This window comes from Homo sapiens, chromosome 1, assembly GCF_000001405.40.
Source record: "Homo sapiens chromosome 1, GRCh38.p14 Primary Assembly".
Lineage (NCBI taxonomy): Eukaryota > Metazoa > Chordata > Mammalia > Primates > Hominidae > Homo > Homo sapiens.
Window position 1 is genome coordinate 144,744,382 of NC_000001.11, and position 18,327 is coordinate 144,762,708.

The following is an 18,327-nucleotide window of genomic DNA, read 5'->3' on the forward strand; positions in this document are numbered from 1 at the left end:
TACAGTCATCCTGCTGTGTGATCAAACAGTATATCTTATTCATTCTTTCTAACATCATCCCCACCTGCCCTCAGCCCCCCACTCCTCTTCCCAGCCTCTGGTAACCACCTTTCTGCTCTCTAGCTCCATGAGTTGAACTGTTTTGATTTTTAGATCCCACAAATCAGTGAGAACACGCAATGTGTGTCTTTCTGTGCCTGGCTTGTTTCACTTAACATAATGACCTCCCATTCCATCCATACCATTTTCTGCTTTTGTACAAGGCATCAAGGCATAAAAAGCAGGGCAATGGGACTCAATGGATTTTCCACGCTGCTCTAACACACTACTGCAAACCTGGCAGCTTCAAACAACACAGATGTATTCTCTCATAGTTCTGGAGGTCACAAATCCAAAACGAGTCTTCCTGGACTAAAACTGAGGTGTTGCCAGGACCCTTGGTAAAAGCCCTAGAGGAGAATCCATTCCTTGCCTCTTTGGTGGCTGCTGGCATTGTGAATTGTGGGCACATCACTCCAATCTCTGCCTCCACGGTAGCATCACCTTCTCTTCTGTAGTCGAATCTCCTCTGCCTCCCTCTTCATCTATAAGGACACTTTGTGATTACATTGCGTATCCACACAGATAACCCACGATAGTCTCCCCGTCGCAAATCTTTGAAGTAATCTCATCCACAGAGTCTCTTCTGCCAACATCCCATTCACTAGTTCTGGAGGTTAGGACGTGGACATCTTTGGGGGTTATCATTCCCCCTTTCACAGGCTATCTGGGCTGTATACAGAACCAGAGATCTGAGAATCATCTTGGCGGCCTCACTCTGTGAGCAGAGAAACGTGTCTGTGCTCAGCAGCAATCCCTGGAGGCAGAGACTGGAAATTACACCTGCAACCGTAGTAAGAGCTTGCCAGGGGCCGGAATGGGTGCCATAACTAGAGCTGTACAGGCATCCACCTCAATTCTCTCAGCGGCCCTTTGAGGTCGCTCTCTTACTGCCACCAAGGTGCAGGGTGGTGAAGTTAACTCAGAGCAGAGACCTGGCCTCGAAGCCTCGTCTCCCTGGGGAACAACCAATCAGCAGGAATCTGAACACAAGCACGAGAGGCAATCCGAGCCCTTCCCCAAAGCCTCACTCTTCATTCACTCTGGCTGGAATCCTGCCCTCCCTTCAGGGCCAAGCTTAGGGAACAAGGAGCAACCAGATCCTACCTCCAAGGACAGAGCCCTTACATATTTCTGCAATCTGTCTGCAGCTGATGGTCTGAATGAGCATCGTGTCATCACAGCACTTGTAAATTTTGGAGGGGCTCCTCCACACTGAGGGAATATGCTTGTTCAGGGAAGGGCACACTCCCCCATTTCTCCCGGAACCACACTTCTGCCGTGGGACCCTGAGAACACAAGGGCCCTCCCCTTGCCCTGTTGCTTCATGTGGCTTAGTCTTGCTTAACAAACATGCTAGGTGTGGAGGCTGAGGCCTACATGTAGTGTTGAGGGCAAGCAGGGACTGCCTGGAAATGCTGAAAGCATTCTCTTAAAGTGAGGCCTTCCCATCATGATTGCTAGGCCCATGATGAGAAGATATTGCAGGAAAGCACGACCTGGACCATAGAAAGGGCAGATCAATGTGTGGGCCTTTATGTGCTTATCCCTCCCACCACCCTGCTGCAGACCCCACCCACACTCAAGCTTAGCCCCTGTGGCTTGGAACCCAAGGACGCTTCTGAGCTGAGGCAGACTTCAGGGAGTACTAGTTAGGATAGGTCAGCTGCAAGTAACAAACAAACAAACAAAATACGCAGCAAACTCTGGCCCTCAGGGCCAAATTCAGCCCACCATCTATTTTTATAAATAAAGTTTTATTGGAACATAGGTGTACCCATTCATTTACACATTGTCTATGGTTGTTTTTAGGGTTGTAGTGCCAACAGAGATCTCATGGCCCACACAGAGCCTAAAATGTTTTCCATGTGGCCCTTTATGGAAAAAGTTTGCCCACCCCTGGCTTGAACAATGACAACATTGAATTATCTGCCATCACAAGAACTCCAGAGGAAGGTGGCTCCAGGGTCACACGAAGGCTCAGCAAAGTCCTCGAGGCCCCAGGCTCCTGTTCCCTCCTTGGCAGGTTGGCCTTTCTTCTTGGGCTGGTTTCTTCATGGTCACAAGCCGGCTGCCACAGTTCCAGGCTTGACTGCCTCTCAGAAGCACATTCAGGCCAGGAGGAAGGGCAGGCTTCCTCCTCACCTCTTCTTATTTAGGGATCAAAAATCCCTCCAGGGCGGTGCAGCAGAGGTCCCTTACCTCTCAGTGTTTAGACCAGAGGTCAGTAAGCATTTCCTATAAAGGACCAGATAGTGAGTATTTTAGGCTTGTCAGGTCACATATGATCTCTGCAGCATATTCTGTGTGTGTGTGTGTGTGTGTGTGTGTGTGTGTGTGTGTGTGTGTGTGTGAGAGAGAGAGAGAGATGACCCTTTAAAAATGTACACTCCATTCTTCTCATGAGCCATAGTTTGTCAACGCCTGGTCTGGCACTCTTCACATGCCCTCTCCGTGCCCATCTCCAGCAAAGGATAGCGAGCTTACCCTTGCTATCAAAGGTGCTTGGCTTAGACCAATCACCCAAAACTGATGTTTCAGAGATGCCTGCTGGAGGAGTGTAGGCAGATATTACTGATGTCAGAAAAACAGTTTGAGCGCCACTTCCTTCTCTGGCAGGAAGGAGTGATTGGCTGCTGGTCCTGCCCTGTCCGAGGAGGAGGACGGAACCCACCCACCAAGCTGTGGAGAGGTGGACCCCACAAATCCCCTCGCAAGCCACGTCTGAGAGCGAGCAGAGGGAAGAAACTCAAGCGTTTGTAGTCCTCTTTCTTAACAACCAGGCTTAAAGCGCCATCTTGTGTCTTGAAGGCAGAAGGAGATCAGGATGTGTGTGCTAGAAGCAGGCAGAGGATCTTCACCAATGTCTCAAAAACTAGAGAAGGAAACATGGCGATCCTCAAGGCCCGCGGCGGCCCCAGGCCTTCCCGCACCCTGCGATAGTCTGGTGTTGGGAGGGTGGCCCACGTGTCCAAGCAACCACATCAGGGAGGTTCTGGGAGAGGAGAAGGCAAAGCTCATGCCCTCATGAGGCAGGCAGTCCCATCCAGGACTGGACTGGATGAGCACCAATAAATAAGAAAACACAGCTGGCAGCTGACTGTGAAGGGTCTGGACAGGGTGCCGAAGTGAAGCGTAATGAGCTGGATAGTGAGGACCTCACTACAGAGGGACATCTATCTACACACAGCCTGAAGGGTGAGAAAGATGGATCCTTGCCCTGAGCCAGAAGTGCACACCCCAGAGAGAGCAGCTCCTGCGGAGGTCCTGTGGGGCAGGCATGGTAGGAATATTAAAGAGAAGAAGCCAGGTGTGGCTGCAGCCATGCAGGAGGAAGGGCGATGGGGTTGGGGAGGCAGAGGATGGGACTGGCATGAGAAGATGGAGATGCAGAGCCCAGATCGTGATAGCCCCAATAGTCCACGGGTAGGAGTTTGTATTTTCTACTAAAAGCAATGGGAGGGCGGGGCGCGGTAGCTCAAGCCTATAATTCCAGCACTTTGGGAGGCCGAGGCGGGTGGATCACCTGAGGTCAGGAGTTCGAGAACAGCCTGACCAACATGGTGAAACCCCATCTTTACTAAAAATACAAAAATTAGACAAGTGTTATGGCGCGCGCCTGTAATCCCAGCTACTCAGGAGGCTGAGGCAGGAGAATCGCTTGAACCCAGGAGGCGGAGGTTGCAGTGAGCTGAGATCATGCCATTGCACTCCAGCCTGGGTGACAAGAGCGAAACTCCGCCTCAAAAAAAGGGAGGGGGGGCAATGGGAAACCATTGAATCGTTTTTAGCAGGTGGCCTGATTTGATTTACATTTTTTAGACATGTAGCTTCACTATCATGGTTATGGTGGTCCGTGCATTACTAACATTGCTAAAACCACCATCATGCCAGAATTACCCTCCCATTTGTGGGTTAAAACACTGCACCCATCTGTCCCTCCCCAGAGTCCTCTTAGTGGCTGCTCTTAGGAGGAACTAACATGGACTACATTCCCCCATCACACCCAGCACAAGTGCCCTCCCAGCCTCCCCCACCCAACTCAGTCCCATTCACACGCGGCATGCCAGGGACTCTCCCATCAGGGGAACACCCTGTAACTCCCAAGTTCCTCCAAAGCCTCTTGAGAGGGACCATGGTGCCCTGCAGGGAGTGGGTCCTGGTGGGTCCAGTGGAGGGAACGTCCTTGCTGAAACTGGCTGGGTCTTAGCCGGGAAGTGGTGACAGGTATCTCTCACATACGCTACGGGAACCCAGCGCAGCCAATGGAGTCCAATCAGCACACCTTGCGCCCACCCCTTCGTTTGGTAACTTGAGGCCACTGCCCACCCGCCAGGTACCCTCTCTCAAGCGTGCCCTGAAGTTCAGGGAAAGACGCCAGCACCCCCTGCTGGTTGCGCTCTCCCATAGCAGGGCTCACATTTTGGGAGAAAGAAATCAGCTGTTAGCAGCTTTCGTTCTTCACCATGTTAAGCAAAGCACAACATTTTATAACTGGGTGAAAAGCCAGATATTCTGTCAGCTGATTTGATTGTTCTGTACGCATATCCCTAAGCCATTGTTTGACGGATATTTTTACTGAGTTGACTTTCTTCATAAGATGGTAGGACTAATGAAGAGAAAAGGCAATGGAGTTTTTAAAACCAGCGTGATGAACCAAATGCTGCCACTGACTAGCTATGTACATGTAATCCAAAGGTTCCCTCCGTTGAAACAAAATAACAGTGCTTACCTAACCAGGTCAGCTGTGAGCTGGGACTTCACAGACAGGCATAGAGAGACATGGATGCAGGAAGGGCTTCCTTAGCTGAGAGGGTCGTGAAACTGGAAGGTAGTAGCAAGCATTTTCCAGTTGGATCTTTTGGCCGACATCTGTAGTGGGGAGACAAACATGTCTAATTTTCCCCCCACCCCGGCACATGGGCAGGTAGGAAGATGCTGGTGGGTTTGGTTCGACAGTTTGGAGAATGTCTTGTGGAAGGGGTGCTTTTTTTAATGCACACTCAGGCACCATGGGAGCCTGTTGTCACCCTGGATATCTAGCTCCATGCCCTTGCCCTTTCACTCTGCCTCGACAAGAGTCATGGCACCCAAAATACATGAGTTCAAATCTGAGTTTCACAGGCTCAGGGAGGAACCCAAGCTACCAAATGCACAGGCCCCTCCTGTATACGGTTACAGCAGGTAAGGGAGTAACTTACTCAGTGCAAGCTGCTGTAACAAAATAGCACAAGCTGGGTGGCTAATCAACAACAGGCATTTATTTCTCACAGGTCTGGAGGCTGGAAGCCCAAGATCAGGGTGCCAGTGCTGGCATGGTTGGGTTCTGGTGAGGGCCCTCTTCCAGGTCACAGACAGCTGTCTTCTCATTGCATCCTCACATGACAGAAAAGAAGTGCACAAGCTCTCTGGCCCCCTCTTACAGGCGCTAATCCCATTCACAACGGTCCTACCATCATGACCTCATTACCTCCCAAAGACCCCACCTCCAAATACCACCACATTGGCATTAAGCTTCAACATATGAATTTAAGGGGGAAACAAACATCCAGTCCATTGCAGATTGTTCTGATAATATGTGTGCCCAGGGCATTGCCCCCACAGCAAAGAGCGACATTGGAAGGCAAACCAATGTCAGGTTTCCTAATGTGCACGGAGTCATCCCTGGAAGAGTGAGTCCGGTGATCTTACCAGCTAATTGCATTGAGCTACCCCACCTTGGGGATCTACCTGCCAAGGAGAACAGAACACCACTGGCTTTGACACCCATCTCTCAACAATGATGGAAGAATGCTGGAAATTTACCTGCTCTGGTAGCTCTCTCTAAGTTCATCTTCCTTGTATGGACTTTCTTTTTTTATTGCTCTCAAATACTTGTATTATTAAATATCTCATTTAAAATTTCTTTAAAATACATTAAAAGTACATTTAAAGAGTACATTTTAAGAGTGCAGATGAAAACATAATGAATACATCTTTGCTTAGGAAAAAATATTTCGGACACAGCATGAACTCAGTTGCTGGTTCCAAGCCCCTCCCCTTCTCACTACACTGAACTTGGCATGCATTCTTTCTTCAGGTGTGTTTGTAATCTTACTACATATGGACATATCCCCCAGCAATATCAGGGATTGTTTTGCTTGTTCCTAGACATCATATAAATGGTATCATACCAATTATACCCCTACACTACTTAATGTTTCATTCAACATTGTTTTGGGGGACTATCCATGTTGATACATGAATTCTGTTGTGTTCATTTTTTCCTCTTGTGAAATAGTCCATTATGGAAATTGTCCCTAGTGTGTCTATCTGCACTCCTAATTGACAGGCATTTAGGCTGTTTTCCATTTTCCTAATTACAATTATGCTGAGTGAACATTCCTGAACACAGGTGTGAGGCTGTCTCTGGAGCACATGCCAGGGAACAGAATTCTTAGGTTGTAAGGAATGTGTACCTCCAGCCTTAGTCAATATTGCCAATTGCTGTCCTATCTGATTTTATTCATTTACGCTCCCACTAGCAGTATATATGAGTCTTTCTTTCACTTCTTGCCAACTCTTGCCAATCTAATGAATGGGAAGTGGTAACTCATTATTATTTCAATTTGTATTCCCTGAGACCTTAACACTTGTGTATTGCACATTCTGGTTCCTCTTTGGCAAATTGCCTTGGCATTAAGATAGTAAATTTTCCTTGCCACCTACGCTGGTTGAGTCAGGATGCTTAATTACTTGGAGGTAAAAAGCACCTGGCTGAAATAGCCATCCCTGAGGCTGCCTGTTGAGGATAGGAGATGCTTCATCCATCTTTAGATCCTTTCTTGGAAACGCTGAGCCTGGCCAGCCATGCAGGCTTTTCCAAGCTCTGATGCTGCCCTGTGTCCACAATAGCATCCCCACAGCCTGGATCCATCATTCCCAGCATTATGATAGCTCCTTTGTCTCCTTGGAAGAGCCCAAAACCCACAGCTGAGGCCTCAGGGCTTTTCTAATGTGCTTAGAACAGGGGTAAAGGTAATGCCAACCAAAATGGGGAAACCTGTATTCCTGCTCAGTCACTGCTTAGTCAGCATAAATCACTCCAGAGGATAGTTTCTGACCTCAAAGACTGAGTTACAAAGATGATCACCATAGCATTGTTTACAGTAGCACCAAAAAAAGGAACCACCTAAATATCTCTAAATGTCCAACATCACCGTTTGAAAAAATAAAGAATGGTACATCCTTCCATGGAATGTACCTTAAATCCACCCAAAATCATACTGCATATGGATATGCAATGTCAAGGAAACTTACTCAGGAGTCCTAGCTTGGGGTCCATGGACGTCCAAGGAGATGCTTATCAAAGGGAGTTGGCACCCCCTGAGATGCTCATGAAAGTGCAGACTTCCGGGCCCCCCTCCAGACTGAATCTGCACTTCCAGCTTGGAGGGCAGGAATCCTAACAAGTTCCCCAGATGAGTCTCAGGCACACTAAAGCCAGAGCATCGATGCCTGGGACCCAAAATAGGGAAGAAGCACTCTGGTGTATCAAGAGGAAAAAAGCAAGTTACATACAAACGCAGTATACATAAAAACACCGCCTTCATGTGGGTGTGGGTGTCGATGTATGCGTACTTTTGAAAAAAAAAATTATCGGCTGGGTGCGGTGGCCCACGTCTGTAATCCCAGCACTTTGGGAGGCCAAGGTGGGTGGATCACCTGAGGTCAGGGGTTCAAGGCCAGCCTGGCCAATATGATGAAACCCTGTCTGTACTAAAAATACAAAAATTAGCTGGGCGTGGTGGCAGGCATCTGTAATCCCAGTTACTCCAGAGGCTGAGGCAGGAGAATCGCTTGACCCCAGGAGGCGGCAGTTGCAGTGAGCCAAGATCATGCCATTGCACTCCAGCCTGGGTGACAAGAGTGAAAGTCTGTCTCAAAAAAATAAAAAAAAAAAAATATATATATATATATATATACATATATATATATATATATATATATATATATATATATAATTTTTTTAATTTTTATTTTTTAGAGACAGGGTCTTGCTGTGCCACCCAAGCTAGAATGCAGTGGCACAATCTTGTCTCACTACCCAATCTCAAACTCCTGGGCTCAAGTGATCCTCTCCACTCAGCCTCATGAGTAGCTGGGACTACAGGCATACTCCACCGCACCTGGGTTTTTTGTTTTGTGTTTTGTACAGACAGGGTCTCACTATGTTTGTGTTCCCTGGCTGGTCTTAAACTCTTGGCCTCAAGCGATCCTTCTGTGGCCTCCCAAAGTGTTGGGATTACAGGCGTGAGCCACCATGTCCAGCCTGTGTGTGTGTACTAATAGCTACCTAGATAACAATACTTAACAGCAATTACCTCTAGATTACCTCAGCACCATTGACAATCAGCCCAAAGACTTTGTGGTGGGGCTGTCCTGTGTGTTGTAGGGTGTTAGCAGTATCCCTGGGTGCAGTAGTGTAACAATCAAAAATGTGTTTGGTAGCACAAAAGTACAACTATAGTTAACAACAATTTATTGTATATTTTAGAGTAACTAACATAGTGAAATTAGAATGTTCCTAACACACAAAAAAGATACATACCTGAGGGTATGAATATCTGTCACCCTGATTTGATTATTATTTATTATATGTTTATATCAAAATATCACATGTACCCTGTAAGTATGTATAAATATTATGTATAATTTAGATTTATTTTAATTTTAATAAAAAATAAATATTAAAAAATGTCTTCAGATATTGCTAAATGTCCCCTCAAGGAACAAGGTCCCCAGTTGGAGAACCGATTCTCTAGATGGGACATGTATAGATGATGCTTTCCTTTGTTTTTTAGTATATATGCCTATTTTTTAGTTTTTTCTAAAATAAGTGTACTTTAGTCATGTTAAAAAAAAACTTTGTATTTATTACTGTCCCATTGCCTGCACTGTCTGAAAAAAAATACACTCAAATGAAAAGATACATTAATACTTACATTAAGAAAATTAATTTTATTATTATTTTAAAATAGCTGTGGAAAAACTATACAAAGGCCTCCCAAATGTCAATATTCCTTAGGCACCTTTGAAATATTTCTAAACTTAATCTTTGGACTAGGCATCCTAATTGTAATTCCATATCTTAAAGAAACAATTCTAAATATAGGAAATGCTTCACAAATATGGTTGATTTTTGCAGAGTTACCTATAAAAGCAAAAAGTTATAAACACTGTAAAACCAACCATAGGAAACTATGTTAATTAAGGTACATTCACTTGATAGACTATCATACAGCATTAAAATGATATTTATAAAGAACTTATAACAATATGGGGGCAAGGTTTATGCCATATTGTTAAGTAGGAAAATAACTGAATACAAAATCAAATATGTTACATCACCATTCAAAGGTATAATAATGACAATAAAAAGAATCTCATCAACATGGTCGGAAGAAATACACCAAGATATTAAAAGTAATTGTTAATTGAACAATGGCATCGTAGGTGACTTTTTCTCTCTACTTTTCTGAAATATCCAAATTTTTTACAATAAACATGTGTGTATTTACAGTGAAAGAGAGAACAGTGAAATTTCTTTTTAAAAATACTTGAAAATGATCACAAAAATGTGCCAACATTTCAGGTAAGAAATGTGTTTTTATATGGGTCTGTATACAAATTTCTATCCAGCTGATAAAAATAACTTCAAGAAATTAAACCTATTCAGAAACAATAGTGATTGTGTCTAAATTCATAGGCTTTGAGAAGGATAAATTTTTAAAGTATAAATTACTATGCAGGTGGTCAGGAAAAGGTTGTATGGAGTCACATGATAAATGACACAAAGAAAATGCTTTTTATGAAAAACAAACTGGATAGATTGTTTCCCAAGCCAGAATCACATTCTTCTAAATCATTTAGAAGGCAATAAAATAATTTGGGCTTGATTAGCATTTAACTAACCAAGGACAGATTCCAGCCACCTTATGGATTTTGATCTAACTTGTTTACATTCATCAGGGGTGATGGGCAGTTCCAGCCCACAGGAAGCACAATCTTTGCAGACAAAAGGTGGCCCTTCTCATGTTTGTCAGGCAATATTTGTCCAACCTGGCCATTCCCAGTTGGCTCCAATGAACTCTTGTTAGCTCACTCTTGTTAGTCACTTGTTAGTCTCTTGTGGACCCAGACTATATCTTACAATAGACCTCAAAGAGGGAGGCAGCTGCGTGCATTGCATAGAAAATAGAAAAAGCCATGGCCAGGTTGACCACAATTATCCAGGGTTCAAAGCCAAAGACAATCTCCTCCAATCCATTGTCATACTCAGGTCGACAGCCAAAAGCGGGAGGTATCCAAAGCTGCAAGAGAAGAGAAAATGGCCTGTGGTGGGGAGCAGCTTCCAAGCCACCACGGAGGCCCCACTCAAGTCCCAGGCCTCATGGGAGCTGACCCTGATGCACGGGGACTGAGTCACCCCTGACAGAACAATAAGGAGACCTCGTGGCATTTCCCATCTCCACAGAAACCACCAAATCCATGTCTGCCATGATCCTGCTCACTTCCTCACCCACCCTTCCCTGCAATCCATCCCTAATGAGTGCTCTTTGAACCCATCCAACTCTCTCCATCTCTACAGCCCTCGCCCAGCCTCAGTTTCCTCATTTGAAAGATGGGAATTCTAACACGTGTCTGAGAGGGCTTAGATGAGAATTAAGTTTGCAAAACTGAAAGCAGTGACTTTTGTTTGTGTTGCTCACAGAACCTACACACTGTTCCCTGCTTCTCAGGCTCTTCTCTGTCCCAGTTCTCTCCCTTTCTGCCACCCCTTGAGTTGTCAGGCTCCTCACTCCCGCTTCAGGCTGCACCCTTCTTCAGCTTCCTCCACTCCCTGGCTGTGGCAGGCAGCCTCTAGGATGACCCTCAATGATCCCCAGCTCCTGCAGTCACCCTCTTGTGGAGTCCCCACCCCTTTAGTGTGGGATGCACCTAATGACTCACTTCCAACTCACAAAATATGGCAAAAGACACAGGAAGTCACCTCTGAAATTAGGTTGCAAAAGGACCTGCTATCCCTCTTGCTCATCTTCTCCTGAAAGACAGGTGGCAGAGCTGCCATGCTGCGAAGCACCCTATGCGGCAAGGGGCCCAGGGAGTACCCCTGTCAACAGCCAGCAAGGAACTCAGACCCTCAGCCCAACAAGCCACAGCTGAATCCTGCCAACAGTCACATGAGTAGATTTGGAAACAAATCCTCTGCCACCTCTCGGAAAGTCAAGCCTTGAAATGAATGCAGCCCCAGCCAACAGTTTCAGCCTGGGAATGGCCCTGTGCAGAGATACTCAGCTAAAACTGTAGTTGGAGTCATAAGTCAGAGAAACTATGAAATCATAAATGTACATTGTTTTAAGTTGCTGAGTATTGGGGTGGTCTCTTCCATAGCAATAGGTAACTGAGACACATAGCCTTCATTTGTATCTCCATACAGAACACTCCCTGGTATATACAGCCGACCTCTGTATCCAGGGACCTGTGTCTGTGGATTGAACCAACCACAGATCAAAAATATTCAAAAAGTAGGCTGGGCACAGTGGTTCACACCTATAATCCCAGAACTTTGGGAGGCCGAGGCAGGTGGATCACCTGAGGTCAGGAGTTCAAGGCCAGCCTGGCCAACATGGTGAAACCCCATCTCTACTAAAAATACAAAAAATTAGCAAAGTGTAGTGGCATGTGCCTGTAATCCCAGCTACTCAGGGGGCTGAGGCAGGAGAATCCCTTGAACCCAGGAGGCGAAGCTTGCAGTAAGCCAAGATCATGCCACTGCACTCCAGCCTGGGCAACAGTGAAGCTCGGTCTCAAAAAATAAAAATAAATTAATTAAAAAAATAAAATGGTTTGTTGTGTCTGTACTGAATAGGTACAAACTTTCTTCTTGTCATTATTCTCTAAACAATACAATGTAACAACTATTTACATAGCATTTAAATTGTATTAGGTATTCTAAGTAATTTAGAGATGTCTTAAAGTGTACGGGAGGATGGGTAGGTTACATGCAAGTATAGGACTTGAGCATCTGTGCATTTGGTATACACCACGGGGGCCCTGGAACCAAGACCCCTCTCTTCTGCTTTGCTTACTGGCTGCTGTGACTCTTAGGAGCTCTCCTACTTGTTCGGCGGGTCCCTCCCAGTCTCCTTTGCTGTTTCATCCTTTGCTCTGCCTCTTAATGTTAGCCAGCGTCCAGGGCTCATTCCTGGGTCCCTTTCTATTCTCTCTACACATGAACCCTGGGGCTCTCTCCCAGTCCCTGGTTGTAAATACCAGCTATAGGCCTATGACTTCCCAGTCTCAATCTCCAGCCTGGACCACTTCCAAGAACCCCAGACTCATAGTTTCCGGTGGCAACTTGGGTGTCTAAAACACATCTCAAACTCAACCCACCTTCCCCATTTCTCCATCTGCTCAGCTACATCGTCCTCCCAGGTGGTCCATCGAGGCTCCAGGTGTCAACCTTATCTCCCTCCTACTCTCATAACCATGCCCCCTCCCATCCAGTCCCTCAGCGCATCTCCACTGTGCACCTCCAAAGCAGTATCTTCAGCCCACCTGTGGCTCTCTCTCTCCACCTGTCCAACTGGCCTCTCTCACCTGGACCATGGCGGTGGCCCCGTGCCTGGTCTCCCAGCTCGAACTAGGGTTCCACTCGGCCACCAGATTTACATTATATGGAAATCAGATCCTGTCCCTACCTTGATTAAACCCCTAAAGTCTTCCCAAAATATTTAAAATAAATTCTACACTCCCGCACGGAGTGATAAAGTGCTCTGTTAGCTGATTTCTAACCACCCACGCTTCTCTCCACTCACCCCACCCACATTGCAGGCAACCCTTCTTCCTGTTTCTCAAACCAGACCCGCTCACTCCCACTGGGGGTTTTATACCAGCCATTGTTCCCTCTGCCCTGAACATGCGTGGCCAACCCCTTCCTGTCTCGTGTCACCCTTCAGCGAGGCCTTCCCGCTAAGCTGGTCCATCTGATCTACAATGGCAGCCCAAGAGCTATTTCCCACACCCTCCTTTTCCACTTCTCTGCTTAACACGGGTACACTATAAGGTGTCTTTCTTGCTCAGTTGATGGTTTCACCTGCTGTTGCCTGGTTTGTAAGCCCCATAAGAGGAAGACCAGAGATCTTGGTCATTGCTGTACCCTCACCATTCATAGCAGTCCCTGTACCTCTGTAGGTACTTAAGGGACACCTTTTAAAGGAAGGGTGAGAGGAAGGGCAAGGGAGACAGGGAGGAAAAGGGAGAAGAAAGGAAGGCAGGAAAATGGGACCTCTTTTCTGAAATCCACATCTTTATATGTGCTGTTTAGTTGGCTGGAAATTCTTGTTACTTATCCTATTGAGAAGTGGCCTATGACCTCTTTCTTTGAATCTAGATGGACTCTGTGACTACATGACTAATAAAATATGGCAGAAATGACACCATGCAGTTTCCAAGCCCAGGCCTTAGGAGACAGGCAGCTTCCAGTTCAGTCTTTTGGAGGGTCAGCTCTGGGGCCCTCAGCCATCACGCATGGAGTCCAACCACCCTGAGACGTCATGCTGGAGACCCACCTGTGGATGCCCCAGTCAAGAGTCCTGGCTGAGCCCAGCCTCCCAGCCACCCCCACCCAGGGCACCAGACCACGGAGCTTCTGGCCAAGGCTTCACCAACTTCACTTGATGCTGTGAGGAACAGAACTGCCCATCCAAGCCCTGCCAGAATTTCTAACCCACAAAGCCACGAGTCACAATAAATGCTATGGGACAAAAACAGTCATGCATGTTGCTTTTGTCATACATTAGTGGTAGTTCATTGCACGGCAATAGAAAACCAAAATATCTGTCTACTGGGTTCGTCCATTTGGATGCCACAGAGGCACCTGAAACAGAACACGTTCATTACTTAACTCTGGTTCTTCCTTCCACACTGACCTCCACCCACTGCTCCCAAGGTTGCCCCTCCTCCAGAGTCCTCCTCCATCTCCAACATAGTATCACCATCTCCCCAGGAACTCAAGTGTGAAGGCAGGGGTCATGTTTGGCGTCTGTCACCCTTTGCGAGTTGCAACCTGGAGACCCTGGAGGATGTTATGATGAGTGAAATAACCTAATCACAAAAGGACTAATACTCCACAAATTCACTTATATGAGGAGTCTAGGAGTCAAATTCCTAGAGACTGAAAGAACGGTGGTTGTCAGGGGCTGGGGAGAATGGGGAGTTCATATTTAATGGGGGCAGAGTTTCAGTTTTGCCAGACGAGAGTAACCTGGAAATGGATGGTGTGATGTTTGCACAATGTGAACGTACTTTACTCCACTATACACTTGAAAGTGGGTGCAATGGGAAAGTTTATTTGATGAGTTTTTTACCACAATTAAAAATATAACAAAATAAGCATGAGTCAGATCCCGTCACTCTCAGTGTAGACCTTTCCATGGTTTTCTGTTGCATTTAGGATTGAGTCTTGGCTCGCAGGCCCTGTGTGGTCTCCCCTCTGCCCTCTGCTCTGTGCTCCCAGGTCATGTCCAGTGAGCCCTGCCTTGCCTTGCATCCGTCCCTTCCCCACACCTGCAGCTCTGCCCTGATAGTCTCTCATCCCAGCCCCATCCACACCCTTCCTTAGAAGAGGCCTTCCCTGACCCATCTCCCACAGCACCCTGCCCTTCCCGGTCACCACAACCACCCTCTGTTGTCTCCAGTGCCACGGCTCCTGGAAATTCAACTAACATTTCCATGTCCGTCTCTGGAGTGGAGCCCACTCCACCTGGACATGCACATCAGCACCTGCAGCTGGGGCCTCTGGACTGGCTCCCGATGCTGGAGAAGACAGCTCTTGCTCTCTGCCAGATGCCTTTGGCACCACCTGGGGTCAACCACAAGGTTTCAAAGTGCCACCCATGAGCCAGCACGGGTATCCTAAGACTCCACCCTGCGATGATTTCCATCCTCTGGTTCAACCCCCCAGAACCCAACCAGTGCCTGGGGGCATCATGGGCCAAGCACAGGGAGGAAGAGACGGAGCCCACCCTTCTCCTTGGACTGGGCCCTGGGTCTGGCTTTCGGGTCCTGACAGACCATGAATTGCCACTTGATTCTGGTATTTCGGACAGTGCTATCTTTCTTCAAGTGGGTCCAAAAATGCAAGCCAAGTATTTCACCCAGTGGTCAACCAAAAAGGCAACCAGGGAAAGACAACTTTTCAGAACTTAGTTTTAAAAAGAAATATTAGGTCAGAAGCAGTGGCTCGCGCCTGTAATCCCAGCATTTTAGGAGGCCTAGGCAGGCAGATCACCTGAGGTCAGGAGTTCGAGACCACCCTGACCAACCTAGTGAAACCCTGTCTCTACTAAAAGTAGAAAAATTAGCTGGGCATGGTTGTTGCATGCCTGTAGTCCCACCTCCTCGGGAGGCTGAGGCAGGAGAATCACTTAAACCCAAGAGGCGGAGGTTGCAGTGAGCCGAGATCGCACCATTGCACTACAGCCTGGGCAACACAGCAGGACTCCATCTCAAAATATATGTATATTAATATTAATCACAGGATATGTACAAAAAGCATATACTTGAGGAAGATTCTAGAACTAGCTCTGACTTTATAAGAATTTGCATTTTGGAATAAGCACCTCAAAAAAATGCAGCTTACAGTATCTATCTCTCTTGTTAACTCTTTCAATTTTTGACTCACTGCTGTGCCCCTGACATAGTCCCTGGCATACAGCAGGTGCCTGGCAAATGTCTGTTAGATGGAGAAGATGGTCTCCCTGCAGCCAAACTCTTCTGGGCCTTCCACCTTCAGAGCCCCTCCTCACTGCCTAGCAAACTGAAGGAACCTGGGTGATCCAAGGCTAGGGTGGATCAGGTTTGCTTGGCAGACACACAGCCATTCTGACTTTAGAAGGGACTTACTTTCCCAACTTTGTGTTCTTAGGGTGATATCAAAAGCTGCAGACCCCGTATGCACCATCTGAAATTCAGGGGAGGAAGCTCAAAAGCCTCTGAGCTGCTGGGGCAACAGGGAGCAGGCTTGATAACAGAGGCTAGTAGCACAGAGCTGACTTCACCCAGAGTGATGGGCAGGCACCTCTGTGGACTGGGGCACTCCCCTCCAGCCACCAGTCACCATCACTGCAGAGACTCATGCGGTGGCAAAGGCTGCTTCCCCCTCCTTCTTACTGACCCCCACCATCCTTCCTTTATGTGTCTTTAAAAAAATCCCAACAGCACACAATGCTTCTTATTCCTTTTTCTTCTCTCCATCCCTCCATCACTGCCCTAGTTCAAGCTCCTCCCCTTCCTGCCTGGGCTGTTGCAGGGCTTTCTCTCCCAGTCTTTCTGCTTCTGGCCCTATCTGTCTCCATCCTTGCTACACACAGCTACTGGGAGGATCATTCCAAAACACAAATCTGAGAGAGTCTTCCCTTGCCCTCAGCATAAAGACTAGACTCCAGCCAGGCCTAGGAAGCCCTGCTCAAGCCAGAGTCCACCTACCTGGGCCCTCTCTCCTAATTCCCATTCTGCTACTCTGCTTAACACACATGGAATTTATGCCAAACTACTTGGTGCTCTCAAAACATGCCATGGTGTCTTTTGCCTCTGTGTCTTCACATATTGTGTGTCTCTGCCTGAAATGCTTTTCCCCGCCTTGATAACCTGGTGAACTTCCAGTCATTCCTTGCTGATGCAGACAGATGGGTGAGTGACTGTACACCTTCCTCTCCCTTGCTACCTTCCATCAGAGAGGCTGGGAAGCAAACCCTCTACTTCCCCAGCCTCCCTTGCAGTGAGGGGTGCCCACATGAGAGACATTGTCTGGCACCAGCCCTTCCCCACTGCTTTCTGTCTTGAACCCAGATGTGATGCCTGGTGCAGCTGCAGCCATCTCATGACCATGTCACAACAAACACCACACCACCCAAGTGACAAGATGAACAGTGCCTGGATGCCTGATGACATGGTTCAGCTGCCAGGCCAACCCCAAGCAGCCAACCTCCGGAATTCTCATGAGATAATTAAACATTGTTAAGACTGAAGACACTGTGAATCAAATTGCCTGTCACTTGCAACTAAAAGCACTCCTGATTGACACTGGGCCTCACCTCAAGCACCCACTACTCACTGAAGTCCTTCTGGATCCCTGCTCCTAGTACACCTTGCACAAGCCCATCTCAGCACTTGTCCTGTTCACTATATTAGATTTGCTCATTGTCTCCCTCCCCCATTATACTGAGACCTTTTAGAGGAAAGAGACTGAGTCTTTCCACTTTAATCTTTAGTACCTAGCCCAGCCCCTAGCACACAGCAAGTCTTTAGTAGGTAGATTTGTAGAATATAGGTCTATTTTCCAGCCTTATATTGTAATTTTATACTTACAGTATTTTTATTACAAGCTGCCTCCATTCCTTATTTTAAAAAGGCAAGAGAAACCTAGATGTCCATCAATAATGGACTGGATAAAGAAAATGTATTATGGCCGGGTACAGTGGTTCACATCTGTAATACTAGCACTTTAGGAAGCTGAGGCAGGAGGATTGTTTGAGCGCAGGAGTTCAAGACAAGCCTGGGCAGCACAGTGAGAACCTATCTCTACAAAAAAAAAAAAAAAAAAAAAAGTTTTGGCCAGGCATGGTGGCTCACACCTGTAATCCTAGCATTTTGGGAGGTCAAGGTAGGTGGATCACTTGAGGTCAGGAGTCCGAAACCAGCCTGGCCAACATGGTGAAACCCCCATCTCTACTAAAAATATTTTCAAAAATTAGCCAACTGTGGTGGCAGGTGCCTGTAATCCCAGCTATTCTGGAGGCTGAGGCAAGAGAATCACTTCAACTCGGGAGGCAGAGGTTGCAGTGAGCACCATCGCACTGTAGCCTAGGCAACAAGAGTGAAACTCTCTCTCAAAAACAAAAAAAGTTTTTAAAATTAACCAGGTGTGGTGGCACATGCCTGTGGTCCCAGGTACTCAGGAGGCTGAGATGGGAGGATTGCTTGAGCACAGGAGGTCGAAGCTGCAGTGAGCTGTGATCATGCCACTGCACTCCAGCCTGGGCAATGGGGCGTGACCCTCTCTCAAAAAAAAAATAAATAGAAAATGTGGTAGCTCTACACCATGGAATATTATGCAGCCTTAAAAAAAGAATGAAATCACATTATTTGCAGCAACCTGGATAGAAATGGAGTCCTTATCCTAAG

General features: G+C 46.9%; 1 pseudogene; it reads right to left on the minus strand.

Annotated features, from left to right (window-relative positions):
- Positions 1–9,085: 9,085 nt before the first annotated feature.
- The window catches only part of LOC100996737 (proton channel OTOP1-like), a 34,019-nt pseudogene continuing 24,777 nt past the window's right edge, over positions 9,086–18,327 (minus strand).